The sequence below is a fragment of the Homo sapiens genome, chromosome 3 (genome assembly GCF_000001405.40).
Source record: "Homo sapiens chromosome 3, GRCh38.p14 Primary Assembly".
Classification (NCBI taxonomy): domain Eukaryota; kingdom Metazoa; phylum Chordata; class Mammalia; order Primates; family Hominidae; genus Homo; species Homo sapiens.
The window spans coordinates 128,990,157-129,009,039 of NC_000003.12; the positions used below are offsets into that span (position 1 = coordinate 128,990,157).

General features: G+C 51.6%; 2 protein-coding genes across 21 annotated transcripts in view, besides 2 other annotated features; one reads left to right on the forward strand and one right to left on the reverse strand.

Moving 5' to 3' along the window:
- Window positions 1-18,883, reverse strand: part of CFAP92 (cilia and flagella associated protein 92 (putative)) — a 116,876-nt gene that overhangs the window by 80,284 nt on the left and 17,709 nt on the right. For 5 of the 12 annotated variants that reach the window (XM_017006945.2, XM_011513050.3, XM_047448638.1 and 2 more), the window contains exon 2: window positions 2,887-3,180. In XM_017006945.2, the coding sequence (XP_016862434.1) occupies window positions 2,887-3,180 (294 nt within the window). Of the gene's footprint in view, window positions 1-1,322; window positions 1,742-2,886; window positions 3,181-3,823; window positions 3,921-10,475; window positions 10,515-10,888; window positions 11,150-11,894; window positions 12,097-13,608; window positions 13,847-18,883 lie in introns of those variants that run through there. The other 7 variants (NM_001394090.1, NM_020741.3, NM_001348522.2 and 4 more) reach the window with 6 other exon arrangements.
- Window positions 2,588-3,349: an enhancer, noted in NCBI's record as "H3K4me1 hESC enhancer chr3:128711587-128712348 (GRCh37/hg19 assembly coordinates)". NCBI's record gives its function as "activates a minimal SCP1, AML or CMV promoter by ChIP-STARR-seq in primed H9 embryonic stem cells {active_cell/tissue: H9 hESC(primed)}" and the evidence as "EXISTENCE:reporter gene assay evidence [ECO:0000049][PMID:30033119]".
- Window positions 3,926-4,135: a silencer, noted in NCBI's record as "silent region_14714". NCBI's record gives its function as "represses an Ori minimal core promoter by ATAC-STARR-seq in GM12878 lymphoblastoid cells {active_cell/tissue: GM12878}" and the evidence as "EXISTENCE:reporter gene assay evidence [ECO:0000049][PMID:35858748]".
- The window catches only part of EFCC1 (EF-hand and coiled-coil domain containing 1), a 39,439-nt gene continuing 31,703 nt past the window's right edge, over window positions 11,148-18,883 (forward strand). For 4 of the 9 annotated variants that reach the window (NM_001377500.1, NM_024768.3, XM_011513163.4 and 1 more), the window contains exons 1-2: window positions 11,148-12,168; window positions 13,638-13,921. In NM_001377500.1, the coding sequence (NP_001364429.1) occupies window positions 11,473-12,168; window positions 13,638-13,921 (980 nt within the window). In that variant the 5' untranslated portion in view covers window positions 11,148-11,472. Of the gene's footprint in view, window positions 12,169-13,023; window positions 13,162-13,637; window positions 13,922-16,255; window positions 16,323-16,400; window positions 17,452-18,883 lie in introns of those variants that run through there. The other 5 variants (XR_924178.4, XR_007095727.1, NM_001377501.1 and 2 more) reach the window with 4 other exon arrangements.

An 18,883-nucleotide genomic window follows, 5' to 3' on the forward strand; every position in this document is an offset into this window, starting at 1 on the left:
AATACTGTTAATATATAGGTGTTTAAAATGAAACAACAAAATTAAAACAAGTATCCTTGCCCAGGCAAAGTGGCTCATGCCTGTAATCCTAGCACTTTGGGAGGCCCAGGCAGGAGGATGATCTGAGGTCAGGAGTTCCAGACCAGCCTGGCCAACATGGCGAAACCCCGTCTCTACTAAAAATACAAAAATTAGCTGGGCATGGTGGCATGTGCCTGTAGTTCCAGCTGCTTGGGAGGCTGAGGCAGGAGAATCGCTTGAACCCAGGAGGCGGAGGTTGCAGTGAGCCAAGATCGCGCCACTGTACTCCAGCCTGGGTGACAGAGAGAGACTCTGTCTAAAAACAAACAAACAAAAACAAGTATCCTTGATCATATTCTCAAAGATAATCTAAATCATGTCAAAACATTTTAAAGTAAGTTGTAGGATCTCATTTCTCTGAAATAAACAATTTATAGGTCGGGCGTGGTGGTTCACGTCTGTAATTCCAGCGTTTTGGAAAGCCAAGGCGGGTGGATCACCTAAGGTCAGGAGTTCAAGACCGGCCTGACCAATATGGTGAAACCCCATCTCTACTAAAAATACAAAAATTAGCTGGGCGTGGTGGCATGTGCCTGTGGTCCCAGCTACTTTGGGAAGCTGAGACAGGAGAATTGCTTGAACCTGGGAGGTGGAGGTTGCAGTGAGCCGAGATTGTGCCACTGAACTCCAGTCTAGGCAACAGAGCAAGACTCCGTCTCAAAAATAAATAAATAAATAATTTATATAAAGAAACATTTATGTACTCATCTGTAAATACTCAGGTATTGAAGGAAAAAAAAATTAAACTAGAATTTTATGTAGAGCCGAAGGTATGTCATTTAAAGGTATTGGCATGATAAAAAAATACTCTTAGGCACACAAGGTCTCATGAAGTTTTGCCCCACAGAGATCCATTTTATAAATGCCTTTAGAGGACAACAACAACAAAAACAAAAACATGCTTAGAAGATGCTGTGAAAGAGATGAGGGCTAAAGGAGGTCAAGTGCCAATTTTCTTTTGGTTGGTATTTGCCAGATGTCTTTTTCCAGGCTCTTTTGCTTTATAGCAATAGACCCAAGAGTAAAGGCATCATTTTAGACAGGAATGGTCACCATAAAATGACAAAAAGTTCAGTTCACCAAGAAGATGGAGCAGTTCTAAACATACTATACACCCAACCAGTCGGCCTCCAAAATAGCTGAAGCAACCATCTGTAAGACTCTCCCCAGGGCCTGAAAGCTTAAGGAGATGAATAACTCCTCCCTTCTCAAGCCTAGTCCCAAGGCGTAAGGTCACTTACGTCAGCAGCGTGCACCAGCAAAATAGCAGAAGCAGGAGGAGAGCCGGCTGGAATACACCTACCCTGGCCGGAAGACATGAAGATGAGAAAGAGGCCATCCGGGTACAGCGTAGCAGTTACGCCAGACTAGGACACTTCCTGTTTACAGGAGACTATAAAACCTTTGCCCCGTCCTCACTTGGGGCTGACGCCATTTTAGGCCTCAGCCGGCCTGCACCAAGGCGTTCATTGAAACAGCATGTTGCTCCACACCGCCTCGTGTTGTCTGTTGGTGCGCTCTCGGGGTTCCAACCCATACAAGAAACTTACACCATCGACAGAATACCAGGAGAAGTTGAAATCATAATGGTGGGCTAGTTCAAGTAAGCAGATGAAAACAAAACAAAGCAAGGTCTATCAAGATGTGAAGTACTACTTGTCTCCTCCCCTCATATTGGGCTGGAACCATGTGACTTGGTTTGGCCAATAAAATGCTAGCAGGTGGGAGACACTCAAAGACTTGAGGAGTGTTTGTGGGGCTAGGCTTGCCCTCCTGTGTGTCCGTGTTTCTAGAACAAGAAGGGGTCTAGGATAGCCCACTGGTCCAGGAGGAAAAGGAGCAGCATGAAGCAGAGCTGAGCTGTTGCAGAACCCAGCCTAGACCAGCGCCCAGCACCTCCAGGAGAACCTCAGGTTCCTGTGTGCAGCCATGAGCTTGGGGGCTTGTTTGGGTTTGTTGCACCGCATTTTTGTGGCAATAGCTAATTGATACACCTTTACATTCAGAGATTGATTCAACAGATCAGAGAAAATGTATTTTTTGGCCGGGTGCGGTGGCTCATGCCTGTAATCCCAGCACTTTGGGAGGCTGAGGCAGGAGGATGACCTGAGGTCAGGGGTTCGAGACCATTCTGGCCAACATGGTGAAACCCAGTCTCTACTAAAAATACAAAAATTAGATGGGTGTGGTGGCGTGCACCTGTAATCCCAGCTACTTGGGAGGCTGAGGCACGAGAATTGCTTGAACCCGGAAGGCTGAGGTTGCAGTGAGCTGAGATCGCACCACTGCACTCCAGCCTGGTGACAGAGCAAGACTCCATCTCAATAAAAAAAGAATTATTATTTTTTTTTTTTTTGACAGAGTTTTGCTCTTGTTGCCCAGGCTGGAGTGCAATGGCGTGATCTCTGCTCACCACAACCTCCACCTCCGGGGTTCAAGAGACTCTCCTGCCTCAGACTCCCGGAAAATGTATTTTAAACAAGGTATTAGGTGATGCACAAGCGCTTATGAGAATCAATGCCTTAACCTCTCCATGGTTTTTTTTTCTTCTGTAAAAAGCAGACAGAACATCACCTGCTTTAGGGTTGTTGAGAGGATTAAGTATGTGAAGCTGATGCAGCCACAGTTGGGCCTCTCCTAAAATTGCTGTTTCTTTTCAACCTCTGCTCCTGGCTGGCACTGGCCAGCCCGCTTTGGGGTGGGGCAGGTGGAGAGAGGATGTGGGGTGTATGCGCCCTAAACTCCTGCAGAAAGTCATGCACCTCCTTTTTTCAGAGGGTGTTAAACTTCTGCTCTAGCACCTACCCATATTCACAGGGAAGGCCAGTGAGATGGTGAATTTGCAGGGGACCACGTGGGGCACGTCGGAGCTGAAAGTGCTGGCAGGCTCAGATGAGGACTCGATGCTGCTGCACGGGCGGTCAGAGTCAGACTCCTGGGCCCTGGCCTTGGCCTTCAGGTGTTCCTCCACGTCACACTCGCTCGTGGACTGGTAAAAGCTAGTGATGGAGGAGATGGGCTCTATGCTTGCGGGGTCCTCTTCCCACTCCCAGGCATGTAGCGACATGCTGCAGAGCGCACTGCTGGCCGCCGGCGCTCCTGGCAGGGAGAAAGTGAAGGCTGTCCCCGCCTGTATTCCAGGGCTGCTCCAGGAGGTAAGCCCGGCCTCCTGCAGAAGCACCCACCCTTCTCTTCCCTGCTTCCCCCGCCTGCTCCTAGATGAACGCCGGGGCTCCTTCACTGCCTGCCACACAGTCGGTACTCAATCGACTTAGAGAATGAATGGATGAAGGAACAACAGATAAGGGTGGCTGGCAGTAAGCACGACGACGAGCAACCCCGTTTCCTTCGCCTAACCAGGAGTCAGTCGCCGGGCTTCTGGAATGCCTGCCCCAGGTGAGCAGCTCCCGGGAGCCACCAGGCGGGAGAGGGGACGTCTGCTCAGGCAGGCCTGCTGCGCCTAAGCACAAGATGCGTTTGCTATTTGGGGAGAGGCAAACCAGGCCGGGGGCAGCACGTGCAGGAGCCTGGCGAGGTCGGGGAGGGCAAGCCCTGTCCCCAAGACAGAACATGAATGTGCACTGGGTGCTGGGCTCGGGGCATCAGCTCAGGCCCATGGAGGCGGAACGCCGGGCAAACGCCGAAGAGGGAACACGCATCGAGGCGAGGCGGGAAGAGTCCCGGGCTGCGGCGGCCGAGGTGGGGGCAGGGGTCGGGGTTCCCCTCCAGGTGCTGGCGGTACCTGCGAGCGGATGCGCTGGGCGGCAGCGGGGAGTTGGACCGCGGCGGCAACTCCCGTACCGGATCCACAGCCACCTGGGCGAAGAGACTCCAAGACTGAGAGGAGCGTCCGCCGGTGCAGGGAGGGCCGCAGGCCCAGCCACTCAGCTACGTTTGGCGGTTGCTAGGAGACGCGAGGGCGTGCGGCCTGGGGGCGGGGCTCCGCGGGGCGGGGCTTTCCCCCTCAGCCACTGCGCGCAGTTTGTCAAATGGCTACATCCAGGTTCAGAAACCAGCTGCCTTCATTCCTTCACTCATGCATTCACTCATTAAGGAGTTTCTACTCGGAACGTCAGCACCTACTATAAGCCTGGTCCTTGCCCGTACGATGGGAGGTAGGGGTTGATGGCTCCTTCCTCCCCCTCCATCAGCTCCCACCTCCCATTCTTTAATAAAAGCAAAGGAAGCTGTGGGCTCTGCAAACTCCAGACCTCCCCACGATCCCTCTCATTAGATTCTCTGCTTCTGTCGCCGATGTCCTTAAAAACCAGACCTCCCCACGATCCCTCTCATTAGATTCTCTGCTTCTGTCGCTGATGTCCTTAAAATAGCATGAGAATTCTTGTTAGTGATCATGAGCGCCAACTCAGAGATCAGAAAACAAAGCTTAGAGAGGTGAAGCGATTCGCCCGAGGTCACACAGCAAGTAGGGCGCAGCACTGTGTTGAAATCCGGACTGCCTGACTCCAAAGCCTCCGCTCGTCTGCTAAACCACCCAAGCTGAGAGCCCTGGCTGCGGCTCCTAATGTAGAGGACCTCAGCACAGCAAGCGGCTGGGACAGAGGGCTGGGGTAGGCCTCATGGAGGAAGTGAGCAACGCCAAATCTGGGGGGTGACTAGGCAGAGGCGGTGAAAGCAAGAGAAAGCATCCCAGGTAGAGGAACAGCATATGCAAAGGCCCATAGAGGTGAAAGGGCATGGCAAGTTTCAGGAATGGGTGGCGAGGCTGTAGCAGTGTGCAGGGCCCATGGTACATAGCCCCACAGGGCAGGTTAGGGCACAGGACTATGGGCAATGGGGAGCCAAGGCAGGTCTTCTGTTGAGGGAGGGCACCCTGCTCCGGCAGTCAGTTTGTTCAAGAGAATGGGAGCTGAGGCTACACACAAGCTTGGCTATTAAGAAAACTTTAGCTGAGTTGAGCTATGACCTACTTTGTGTCAAAGAGCAAAACTGTGGCGCAGCTGGGGCTGAGACCCAAGTCCTGAGCCTCCCAGTGCATGCCTCCCCAGACCGCTCTCAGGGCATGGGACAGCCCCTTTAATACTGGGTGCTCCAATACTCCTCGGGTTCAGTCTGAAAAACAGCCTCAAGTACAGCTGTTAGGGAAGACACCAAATGGCAGTGGGCCCTGTGAGGAGTGGGTTCAAACTCTTAGCACGAGAACGGCAACCACCTTGCCCACACCCCACCTGCAGCAGCCTGGAGACTGCTGTCTGTATGCCAGGAAGTGCTCAGGAGACACATGAAGGGCTGGAAGAATACAAAGCTACTCAGATACACCAGCCCCCAAAAGGGCCCTTTAACAAGGGCAGTTCAACACTACCACCACTCTTGGACAGACATCAGGCCTCCTGCTCCCCAGGTCCTACCCACTGGCCTGAGGCTGGTTTCCCTCCAAAGGTTCCTAGATCACATCACCACCTAGGACAGAAGCCAATCTCTTCCCAAGCTCAATAGTGAGAGGCCAGAGGTCTTGGACCAAGGGCCAATGTGCCATCCTGGATGTGCACTGGAAACACCTACATGTCAAAAATACAATTCTGAGGCTTCATTAAAGACCTGTGGAAGTGACTCTCCAGGGGTGGAGCTTAGAAACCAGTGGCAGATTGTATTTTCCAAAGACAGCCACCTCAAAAGATCCCCTCCCACATAATCTTCCGGCAGGCATTGTGAGGTTCACATTCCTCCCACCCAGTTGGGGGGTCTAGTCTCCTTCTCTGGAAACTGGGCAGACCTCTGTGACTGGCTCAGTCAAAAGAGTGCAGAGGAAATGACACTATGTGATTTCTGAGGCCAGGTCATATAAATTCCATCTACCTCTGCCCTGTTCTTTTGAGGTATAGTATTCATGCTAGGAATCCAGCTAGCATGTTGTGAGGAAGCCCAAGCAGCCATGTGAAATGGCCACATGAAACTGTTGTGACTGACGGTTCCCAGCCAATTGCAGCCTCAACCCCCAGACATATGAGAGTGCAAGACTTCAAATGATCCCAGCCCTCAGTCTTTGAGCCACCCTGGCTGACATTGAGGAACAGAAACAAGCTGTCTCCATCATGAGAAATTGTAGATTTATAAGCAAATTGTTGCTCTCTTAAACCACTAAGTTTTGGGGTGATTTGTTGTGCAATAAATAATAGGAACGGGAGCCATATTTTTAAATTACCACCAAGATTGTATTGCACAACCAGAATATGGAACCACTGCCCTGAGAGAGATGGTGTCTGGGTCAAGACCTAGGGCATCACAGGATGAAGTGAGGGCAAAGGTGTGCTACCCACTACTCAGGTATGAGACAGTGGTGGGTCTACAACCCTACCTCAGTGAAGATGGCTTCAGGGCTGGCAGATCAGAAGCAAAGGAAGGGGGGCTTCTGTTTCAGTTATCTGTTACTGAGTAAAAACCATCCCCAAACTTAATGGTGTCAAACAAACACTTGTTATTTCTCACCACTCCATGCATCAGCTGAGTAGTTCTCTGCTGGCCTCGCCTGGGCTCACTCCCTATGCTGTGCTCAGCTGGAGGACCAACATGGCTGGAAGCTGCCAGAAGTCCTCACTTGCATGTCTGGCAGTTGCTGCTGGCTCTTCGTGGGCCCGCTGGTTCCCCTCCATGGGTTCCCCCGCCCCCAGTGGTACACCAGCTTCCTTCTATGTGGTGCCTCATCTCCTCATAGCCCGGCCTGGCTTCCTCAGATGGCATTCTCAGAGCAGGGATCCCAGAGGGCAAAGAAGAAGTTGCAAGGCCTCTTGGGACCTAGGCGTGGAACCAGCACCATGTCACTCTGCTACATGCCATTAACCAAAGCAAGTCATGAGGCTGGCCCCACTTCAAGGGGATGAAGACATGGACTGTACATCTGGTAAGCAGAGGGACAAGCATCCAGGGGCAGGAGGTGTTCAAGGTCACTGAACAATCCATCCCTTCATCCTTACTCTGCCGGGTGGAGGGTTCCCAAGCTCCCACAGGCTATGTAGAGGCCTTCCTGAAGCTATCCCAAGACTCTGGCAGCTGGAAGCATATTGGGAATCAGCTACATACACCTTCTTCTTGCCCCTTCCCCATTTTTAACAGCTTTATTGAAGTATTTTTTATTTAATAAAATCCATCCATTTCAAGCGTAGAATTCAATGATTTTCAGTAACTTTACCTAGTGCTGTAATCATCATCATAAATTCATTTTAGAACATTTTCATCCCCCTAATAAGACTTCATGCACATTTATAATTAATCTCTGTTCCAACTCCCAGTCCTAGGCAACCATATCTACTTTGTTTCTAAAAATTGGCCTTTTCTAGACATTTCCTATAAATTGAGTCAGACACTGTGTTCTGGCTTTGTGACTGGTTTCTTTCACCTACCGTTATGTTTCCAAGGTTTATTTATGTTGAGGCATGTGTCAGTATTTCATTCCTTTTCATGACTGAATAATATTCTATTGTATGGACAGACCACAGTTTGCCTATCCATTCATCAGTTAATGGGCATTTGGCTTGGGCATTTAGACATTTATGAACAACGTTGCTATGAACATTCCCACACAAGTCTTTGTGTGGATGTGTTTTCATCTCTCTTGGGTCGATATCTAGGAGTGGAAGAGTTGGGTCGTATGGTCATTTTGTGATTAACTTCTTGAGAAACTGCCAAACTATCTTCCACAGGGGCTGCATCATTTTGTGTTCCCATCAACAACATGAAGTTTCCTGTTTCTCCAAATTCTTGACAAGATTTATTGCCTGTTTTATTCACTACAGCTATTCTCATGAGTATAATATAGTATTTCATCATAGTTTTCATGTGCATTTCCCTAACAAGAATACTGAGATTGTTTTATGCACATGTTGGCTATTTATACAACTTCTTTGGTGAAATGTCTGTTTGTATCTTCACCCACTTTTTGATTGGATTGTTTGTCTTCTTGTTACTGAGTTGTTAAGAGTTCATTGTAAATTCGGAATATAAGTCCTTTACTGGGCATATGTTTTACAAATATTTTCTCCTAGTCTCTTGTTCGTCATATTTTCTTAATAGTGTCTTTTGAAGTGCAAATGTTTTGAACTTTGATGAAGGTCCGATTCATCATTTTTTTCTTTTTTGGATCATGCATTTGGTGTCGTATCTAAGAAATCTTTGACTAACAACAGGCCTATTTTTAATAGAAGTAAAGCTTGGTGTCTGAACACTAAGCAAATCTACTAACCAAGACCCCTAAAAACCCAAAAGCTTTATGACACTGAAAATAATGGCCCAAGGACATTCCCAGACAGTTCTGGGCTCTGGATAGAACAACACAAGTTTCCAAAAAACAGGCTGATAATACCACAAGCTTATAAAATATGTATACTCCTTGGCCCAGTAATAAATCACTCAAGATATGGCACAAACTGTTCACAGTATGGTTTTTGCGGAGAAAAGCTGAAAACCACCTCAGTGGGCATCTGTGGGGGATGACAAAGCACCTTATAGTTCATCCCCAGGGAGCACAGAGCAGCCTCTGGAGCAGTGTCTGCAAAGAAACCACAGCCAAGCTGTTTACAAAGCTCAGTTCCTGTGCAAAGAAAGATCCCAATGGCGCCCTTTCCACTGTGCTTTTCATGTCAAGTTGAATGAGCTACGATTTGCACACTGTAAAATTCAGATGTACACAGTCATGCAACCACTACACCATGAAGATAGAGTATTTCAATCACTCCAAAAAGTTCTTTCATGCCCAAATACATAGAAAAGTCTGGAAATAAATACATCAGAAATACACAGTGATCCTCTCTTGGTGGCAGAATGGTGGATGATTTTTGCTTTTTAGCATTTTCCCGGACCTTTAAAAGACACTTTAAACAATATACTATTTGAAATGGCTCAAACAATACTGAACTGACTTCAGAAAATCATTTCTTTGCCACAGCCCTGACTCTCTCCCACACAGACACACGCCCATCCCCCCAGCTCATACAAAAGAACGCAAGGAGACCTCTGAGTTTGCTCACTTTGAACCTTAAACAAAAACCTTGTGGATGCAACCAGAATTATTTCAGAGGTGCCTGGTAACACCGCAGGGCAGACAGACAGGCCTGACAGCAAACCATTATCAACCCTTACTTCCCTGAGCTGTAGGGGAGTGGAGGCCGGCAACGGCTCCCAGCAAGACATTTAAAAGCTTTCTTTTCAATATTGACTGGCCCAGGAAAGCTACTGTTCAAAGGATTCCTTCACCAGCTGCAGGGATGGGGGGTGGGGAGGGTGTTGCACTCTTGCCTGGGCTACCAGCTCTTAGGGCTGACATGAAATAAAATCAGGTTCTTTTTTTTTTTTTTTTTTTTTTTTTGAGACGGAGTCTCGCTCTGTCGCCCAGGCTGGAGTGCAATGGCAGGATCTCAGCTTACTGCAACCTCCGCCTCCCAGGTTCAAGCGATTCATCTGCCTCAGCCTCCCAAGTAACTGGGATTACAGGCGCCTGCCACCACGCCCAGCTAACTTTTGGTATTTTTAGTAGAGATGGGGGTGGTTCACTATGTTGTCCAGGCTGTTCTCGAACTCTTGACCTCAGGCAATCCACCCGCCTCGGCCTCCCAAAGTGGTGGGATTACAGGCGTGAGCCACCGCGACCGGCCAAGAAAAAGAAACACATGAGAACATCTTAACAAAAGGGAAATACTGCAGTGTCTCCCATCTGCAGAAAGAACCACTGAATCCACTTATGAATCCCTCCATCTTCTTCTGTGCACTCACATACACATGTCCTAGTAGAAAATACTTAGTATTGTTTTGTGTGTTTTTGTTCTTGTTATGTAAGCATCAGTGTTGTGCATAATCAGCTTGTGGCTTGCTGTGTCCGCTCATCCTCGTTTGCTGAGTCCTAGCTGATTTGATGGACACCAGGTTGTCTCCAGTTTCTCACTGTAATAAACAATGATGCAGTGAACATCCTGTGCACAGTGGCTTTCGAAGGTAGAAGCCAAGAAGTGGACGTGATGTAAAAACTTTGTCAAATTGCCATTACTTTTATAATTAAAAACAAACCTAAAAGAATATGTCCAAAATGCTTGGGGAGAAGCCTCTAACTCCTTCCCAGCAGATATGTACTCTGGGCAAAGCCTTCAAGAACAAGTACGAATTTGCCAAATGGACAACGTGCTGATTCTGGGATACTGTGGCAGAGGAGACAGAATGCTATCGCTTTTCAAACGGCAAGATTTTACATTTAAACTCACAGAGTTATCCACAAGGCAAGATTCTGTCTCTGTCATAGCTAGGAACAGCTGAAGAGTCTGCCTCTTGCTCCAACATGGCTGGGTACCGTGGCTGGATAACCGTTCCCGGTGCAGGTAACAGGTGGACAATATCACAATATCACTGCACCCCTCTCGTGAAAAAGAAAGGGAACACAGTCTAGCACTCACCAGAGAAGCAGGTTTTTCTTCATCTTCCAGAAATGTGTTCTAAAACACCAGAAAAAAACATCAGCCAATCATCGACCTGTTAACCTAACCCCAGCTCAAGAGATGGAACTCGGATCCCATTGCCAAGTCAGCACCGGCAGGCACAAAGGTGGCAGGGCCGGGAGACACCACTTTCCCGAGAGTCCTATCCCCACCCCCAACAGGGATCGGGAGAGAGCAGTTAGCACAGGGCTCGTCTCAGATGGGCTTCTCACCAGCGGGGTGCCCCTAACCTAGACCCCTTGCCTCTCCAAGCCTGTTTCCCTCTCTTTCCCAGTTACTACTTGGGGCTCTTTGCACGGTCTATGGTGGCACAAGAAGTGGGTTCGGAAACCCAGTAGCTGAATTGAAGCGGAGGGGAGGCTTTTCCGCACCTACGGCTACAGGGCGGCGAGAGCAGGCTTGCCAGGCAACCCTCGAAAGGCCTTCCGGGAAGAGGGGGAAGAGTGACGCTTGGGTGTGGGGGCACATCCCCAGCAACCGGACGAGGCCGCCACCCCCAAGGCCCTCCTGGGCTTCGGATCCCGCGCCAACCCCTCGCCCAGGTCTCGGAGCGAACTCTCCGCGCCAGGCGGGCGGGGCGGAGGGAGGAGGGAGTTGAGAGTGGACGGCCGGGAGTGGGAGGAAAAGCGCAGACGCCAGGAACGCCCCGTGAGTGAGGAGAGGAGAGCGTGGGAGTCACGCGGAGAAGCCAGACCCAGACGCCGACCGGGCACTGGTGGCGCTGCCGGGGTCCCGGGGGTTCCTGGACCCCCTACCCCAGGCCCCTCCAAAGCAACTGGGGTAAACCAGACGCACTGTGAGGCCAGCGCAGCTGCTGGACACGGTCCCCGGCGCCGCTCCAACCAGACCGCGACCGCTAAGCCCCTCCTTTCGAGAAACTCTGGGGCCGCCCCTGGAAGTGGCGGGGCGAAGGGACCGGAGGAGGGACCGGAGGAGCGAGGCGCGCGGCGCAGCGATGGAGCCGGTCAGCACGGGCGCGGAGGCCGGCATGGAGGGCGCGGGAGGTGACCCGTACCGGCGACCTGCGCGGCGCACGCAGTGGCTGCTGAGCGCCCTGGCGCACCACTACGGGCTGGACCGCGGCGTGGAGAACGAGATCGTGGTGCTGGCCACCGGCCTGGACCAGTACCTGCAGGAGGTCTTCCACCACCTGGACTGCCGCGGCGCCGGCCGTCTGCCCCGCGCCGACTTCCGAGCGCTCTGCGCTGTGCTGGGGCTGCGCGCGGAGGGGGCCACCACGGCCGGGCAGGCAGCAGGTGACGGGAACTCCAGAGATGTGACCCCCGGGGATGCGGCCGCTGAGTTGGCCACGGACGGGGACTCAGATACCGATGAAGAGGCGCGCCTGGCGCTGCGCGCCGAGCCGCCGGAGCTCACCTTCCGCCAGTTCCACGCGCGCCTCTGTGGCTACTTCGGCACCCGTGCGGGGCCCCGGCTGCCCCGCGGCGCTCTCAGCGAGCACATCGAGACGCAGATCCGCCTGCGCCGTCCGCGCCGCCGCCGCCGCCCGCCCTGCGCGCCTGGCCCCGACAGCGGTCCTGACTGTGAGCGCGTTGCGCGGCTGGAGGAGGAGAATAGCAGCTTGCGCGAGTTGGTGGAGGACCTGCGCGCCGCGCTGCAGAGCAGTGATGCGCGCTGCCTAGCACTGCAGGTGCGCGCCGGCCACGAAGGGAGGGTGGTAACGCCCGGGAGAGGGCTCGAACTAAAAGCTGGCTGGCTGCGGAGCCCGACAGGACAGAGTCAGAGGAAGGGGAGACAGAGGGCAGCCCCACACCATCCCACTCCGCATCAGCACACTTGCATCTTGCCCCTGTTCCTCCCCATTCCACTCCAGTCCCCAACCCTATTCTTACCACCTATTCCATTCCTGAAAACCCCAATCACACTCAAACAACCATACCCCACTTTTCTGCTCCACCGCCACATCATCGCGTCTTGCCCCTTTAACCTAGGAATTGCACCTGTCTGGGTAGTCTCACATATTCCCTTTCAACAAGCATCTTTCTCTCTCCTTCCTGCCAGGCTTCTGGGAGGTTTAGGAGACAGAAGTGTGAAGAAGGCCCTGTCCTCACCTTTAGGGATATCCCTGCCTCCTGGGGTAGACTGACAGCTCCTTCTGTCAATCAGCAAAGACTTATGGGGCTCCCTGTGGGAGAAACAGAGACAAGTGAGAAACAGACAATGTGGCTCACACTGTGGATCAGGCACTCACGGGCCACCAAGTGCCTGCGGGAACCAGACCCGCTCTGGGCTATTGAGAAGAAACCATGGGGTGAGATAGGGACCCAGCCTTAGCATCTGGGAGCCGTCGACAAACACTTAAGCACTGTGCCAGCCGAGCACCAAGGGCAGTGCTGGGCCGCAGGGGTCAGAGGAGGAAAGGAACAGCCCCTACCCCAGGCGACAACAGGCCAGGAAGAAACTGACATTATATGACCCCGCCTTAGCTCAGGACACTGCAGAGTGCAGGGAAGTGGCAAGGTGTGGTTTTCAGTGTCAGTGTGCATGGAAGCCAGGGTGGAGGCGGGAAACTACTCCTCTGATGTGGAATCCCAAGTAACGTACTGGGAGCCATGGGATGCGCCTGAACGGTCTTCCGGCATCTCTCATGCTTGGTATTTATTGAGCACCTACTATGTGCCAGGTTTGTTTTAGGCTCTGGGAACACACCAGTAAAGACAGATAGAAACCACCCTCAAAAGCCTCTAGTGAGCAGGCACGGGGAGGGCTGGAAATGCCACTGGGGGGAGTCTAGGAGATGAGGAACCGCCACCCGGCAGGCTGAACGCCGCCAATACAGTAGGCCGAGAAGAGTCGCGAGGTTGGTACTATAGAGGGAACAGAATACAGGCGTCGTGTCTCAGTTTCCTTCAGTGAAAAAACGTTGGGGGGTGGGGGATGAGGAGGAATCAGAGCTTGGGCCTCCCTGGGGATGTGGCGAGGGTTAAAGGAGCTTGGACGCACCGGACCTAAGGGCCTGGCACCCGGAAGCAGACGGCGCAAGAAACGTGCTCAAGCGCTTCTGGGTGCAGAGGCATGGGGCCGCCGTCGTGGCGGGCGTTCGTCTGGTGCATCTGGCTGGGGCACTTACCCCCTGCCCCTGCTGCCCTGTCCCCGCAGGTCGGACTCTGGAAGAGCCAGGCGAGCACCCACGAGATGGGGCACGGCGGGCCGGAGGCTGCGGTGCGGGAGCTGCGTCAGGCGCAGGGCGCCCTGGCTGCGGCGGAGGCCCGCGCTGGGCGGCTGCGCCGTGGCCAGGCCGAGGTGCGGCGGCGCGCGGAGGAGGCCCGGCAGGTGGTGCTGCGCAGCCTGCACCGCGTGCGAGAGCTGGAGGCGCTGGCGCAACAGGTGCCCGGCTTGCAGCGCTGGGTGCGGCGGCTGGAGGCGGAGCTGCAACGCTACAGGTGAGCGGGGGCGCGTGCCCTGGGCCCAAGTTCCCCAATTCGGCTCCCATTTTCCCAAACTTCGGGTGTGCAATCCCCCTCCCACGCGCTCTCGTGTTCCGCAGTTTCTCCATGCGTTTATTCATGTATTCTTTCATTCCTTTGTCAGTTCTCCATTTCTTAAGTTATAAGTCTGCTCCATTGCTTGCTCTGCAACCATCTGCCCACCCATCCATTTATCCATCCATCTGTCCATCCATTCACCCACCCCACACACCCACCCATCCATCCATCCATTTGTCCATTCACTCACCCCCCCCACCCACCCATCCATCCACTCACCCATCCATCCACTCACCCATTCATCCATCCACCTATCCACTCACCTACCCACCCGTCCATCCATCTATTCATCCATCCACTCACTCACCCACCCATCCACTCACCCACCCACCCATCCATCATCCATCCATCCCCCCACCCACCCAGCCAGCCAGCCGTCCATCCATCCTCCTGTTCATCCACAAACACCCTCTATTTGTTTATCATAGATTGCAGTTGAATGTGCTCATTCTTATTTGTTCCTGGATTCGATCATAATGATAATAGCTTACAGTTACTAAGCACTCGCTGTTTGCCAGGCCTTGAGCTAAGTACTTTATGTGGCTTAACTCATTTAAGCCTCACAGCTGCCCTGTGAGGTGGGTACTGCTATGTTTCCACTCTGTAGATGAGGAAACAGGTGTGTAATGACTGCCTGTGCTAGCTCCACCAGGGCAGGAAGCTGGACTTGGGACCCAGGTTCAAATCTTGGCAGGGCTTTTGGCAGACGTGTGAGTGTGGGCAAGTCACCACCCCTCACAGACCCTGCTTCCTCTTGGGTGGAACACAGATTGGGGTCCCTGCCTGTGGGAGTGGCTGTGAAGAGGCCATGAGGTCCTGCCTGGCACATGGTAGATGCTTGGTAGACAGAGCCTCTCTCCCTTTCAAATCACAAGTCACCCCTGCCTGCTGGCCGGCCTGACTACACATTTGCTGAGCACTTTCTGTGTGCCAGGGGCCATCCCAGGCATCAGGGATGTGACCACGTGACTAGGACAGACTGAATTCCCTGCCCTGAGCAGCCACCTGTGAGCAGGTGAGACCTTCACAGGAACAGATGCGTGGCAGCAGGCAGGAGGTGGGGGACACTCATCAGCCTGCCCCCAAAGAAGTGACACTTGAGGATAGGATGTTACCGGGCCAGATGGAGAGAGGAGAAGAGAGAACATTCCATTCTAGAAAATTGGAACAGTACGGGCAAAGCCCTAGGGCAGAAGGGACCATTCAAAAACTAAAAGGAGGCCAGAGTGGCTGGAGGGGTAGAGCTGAAGGGAGGCCCATTTAGGGCCTGGAAGGTGGCAGCAAGGATTTCAGTTTTTCCCTTAAGAGAAAGAACATGAAACCATGGAAAAGTTTTAAGTAAGGAGGTGACAGAAGCAGATTTCAATAAAAAGTTACCCTGGCTACAATGTGACAAAGAGATGGGCAGATGGGGAGAGCAGGAGACAGTGCAGAGCCCAGTGAGGGGCTCCTGCCATCCCTGATCCTGAGAGGAAGGTGGTCTAGCCCAGGCTGGGGGTGGAGCAGCCAGAAGGGGTGGCCTTGAACCTACTGGACATCTGAGAAGCTCACAGCTGGGAGATGGTAAGGCATGGGGCTAGAGGGAGGCCTCCAAAGAGGCAGACTCTGGGCCAGCCTCCTGCAGCATGCAGTGTTTGGAGAGCCACTTCCTGTTTGCATAGCTGATGGCTAAAGAGCAGGGCTGGTTGGCTTGAGGCCCACATCCAGCCTTGGAACTTTATCCAAGAGGAGAAATAAAGGGGCTCTTCTTTGTTTATTTCTAAAATCACAACTAGTCCTCTATAGCAGAATGCTACAAGTGACTACAAACATTGGCATAGCCCTTTACAATAGAAAAAGTGGATTCATAGCCAATGCACCATTTAGTCCCCATAAGGTTGTACAAGGTAGATGTTTTATCCCCAGTTTACAGATTGTGAGAAATGAGGCACTGAGAAGTTAAGTAATGTACCCAAGGCCACACAGCCAGAAAGTAGGAAAGTCAAATCAGCCTGGCCCCACTGCCTGTGTGCTTCGATTCACAGTTACACGATGGCTGCTGTGCCTCCAGACCTTGCATCTGCTGATCGGGCATAAGAAGAAACCTGCGAGGCTAGTCCTGTTAGTCAGTCCCAAACAAAACTGGAGTTCTGTTTTTTGTTCGTTTGTTTGTTTTTTGAGACAGTCTTGCTCTGTCACCCAGGCTGGAGTGCAATGGTGCGATCTTGGCTCACTGCAATCTCTGCCTCCCAGGTTCAAAAGATTCTCCTGCCTCAGCCTCCCCATAGCTGGGATTAAAGATGCATGCCACCATGCCCAGGTAATTTTTGTATTTTTAGTAGAGATGGGGTTTCACCATATTGGCCAGTCTGGTCTCAAACACCTGACCTCAGGTGATCTGCTTGCCTTGGCCTCCCAAAGTGCTGGGATTACAGGTGTGAGCCACTGTGCCCGGCCAAAAGTGGGGTTCTGTTAGTAAGGAAGAAGTAGGAGCAGCTATTGCAGAGGCTTTGAAGAAAACACCTAGTGATGAGGAAATTGAGGACCAGAGAATGAGTGATGCTATGTGAAGGGCACACGGTGATTAGGCAGATGGCTGTGTCACTAATTTCTCTGCCCCTCTAGAAACATGCCTTCAACCCTACCTTGCCCGGGGGGCTGACCTCCTCTGCCCATTTTCTGTGGTCAAAGTTTGCTGGTTTGTGGACTGACCTGCCCCAAAGCTCTCACTCTGAAAAGAAGGAAAAGGAGAGGAGACAGAATAGCCATGGGCATTTATTGAGCATCAACTGCATACCAGGCACTTTTTCATGTAAGCTCATGGGGCCTCTAGTCTAAAAGAAAAGTGTTACTGTCAGCATTTCACAGACAAGAAAACCAAGACCAGAGAGGAAGCAGCTGTCCAGTGTGGCACAGCGACTTAGTGGCAAGGGCAGGACTCACAGCCCAGCCTGATGGCCCCAACCACAAGCTCAAGTTGGGTTTGGTAGTATGCACAAATCCTTCTGGATTCTCCTACCCCAGAAACATCGGCCGGACATTTTACTGGCTGGGGAGGGACTGTAGGCTACAATTCACCTCTGCTTTTGCTTTTCAAGTGCCAGAAGCTCAGATGTCCGTGACTATTGAGCTGAATCAGCCCCGTCCTCTGCAGTTGGCCTAGAGGGCTGCATTCTAGAGGAATTACCGGGAGGAAAGGGCCCCATGCCCCAAACAGTAGAGCCCCATCACACCCTCTTAAGTGACATCACTCTGGAATGTCTCTAGGTGCTCTGCAGATGTGTCTTTGGGGAGAAAACAGAGCAATGACTGAACTCCCCCTGAGAATGACAGCTTGAAGCCATTTGGTTAGAATAAATGACCCAACAAACACCTTTCCAGCATCTCCCAGTGTTCAAAGCACTTTCACAGATACTGACTCACGCTGATCTTCTCATCTTCCCTCTAAGGTTGGTATTATGTCGGATGTTTCAAATAAGGAAATAGACCCTTGGGGTTGGGAGTGGTTTTACTAAAGTCACATACCCAAACTCAGCTGAATTTAGACTGCGTTGAATTTCCTAACTTTGAGTCAAACTGTGCTGCCACTTTCCTAAAATGGGATCTTGATGACTCTATTGTTCATGTTAGGGCTTCTATTGAGTTCTTTTTCAGACCTGTACTTTCTTTTTCATCCTTATCAGTCCTTGTGTTGTAGGTTCTGTCTAATCCTTTATCTCTGTAGCATTCAACCATACTAATTTTAAAGTCTCTTGTGGATTGCTGTAATATCTGAGCTTCCTGAGATGTTTTACACCTGCTGTCTTTGTCATGATGAGGCATTCTTGGCAGGCACTGTCATTTTGGGCTGTGAGCCGTCTTTGGCAGGGCCATGATCCTTGAGAGTCACACATAGAACTGGCTGTAGAGTTCCCTTCAGAGCAGTTTTCCATCTGCCTCCACCAGGCCCTGATTCTAGACCAGTTTTTAATTTTGATACTTAGCGTGGAGTTTCCTAGCTGCACAGGTAGTGAGAGATTGAGTCCCATACCTGGGAACAAAACCCCAAGACCAATAGGTGGAATATTTTTCATTTTTGTTCATGGATAAGACAGCCCTTGCTGGCCCCTGGCCTCATGCAGGGAGTCTCCTTCTGTAACTCACTATGCAAGGTCTCCTGTCCCTAATCCCTCCATGGGCGTTTCAGCTCCATCTCCTGCTTTCCACACAAGTTGGAGGTCTCCTCTTCTTGATTTTGACTTTGGCTCTATATTCTTTTAAATAGTTCTATTTTATCCAGCATTTCAACATATTTGTAGATGGAAGAGGGGCTTCTCATAGCACCCCAAACCACCATCTTGACCAGCAGCCTAACAGGATGGACAATAAATATGTAAGCAATTGGAGACATTTATTTAATTCATTCAACAGTATTTTCTAAGCACGTTCTGTGGACCAATCCCCGTGCCACAATCCTTGGGACACAGAAATGGCAGTAGACATGTTAGGGCACAGGTGTGCCATGTGCTGAGGGGCCACAAAGGAGCTCCTGCTGCTTTCAGAGCTGTAGGAGTTGCAGGTGAAATAGAAGCCTCCCAGGTGTCAAAAGGCATCTTCAGGCCTCCTAGAGCTGGGGAAGACTCAGGTACTCCCTGGCCCAGCCCCTGCCTGCTGAGGTGCACAGTCCTCCTAAGAGGCTCCTGGTCCCCTCGCAGCCACATCAGCCTCTGATCCTGCTTTCCCACAGCTGGTCTCCACTCACATGACCTTGTCTGAGATGAGAAACTCAGCTCCTTATTCTTCAAATCCCACAAAATAGTCCATCCCCACACACATTTTTATGCATAGTAGACATTACTGATTATTGGCGGGGTGGGGGGCGGGGCGGGAATCTGTTGCAGT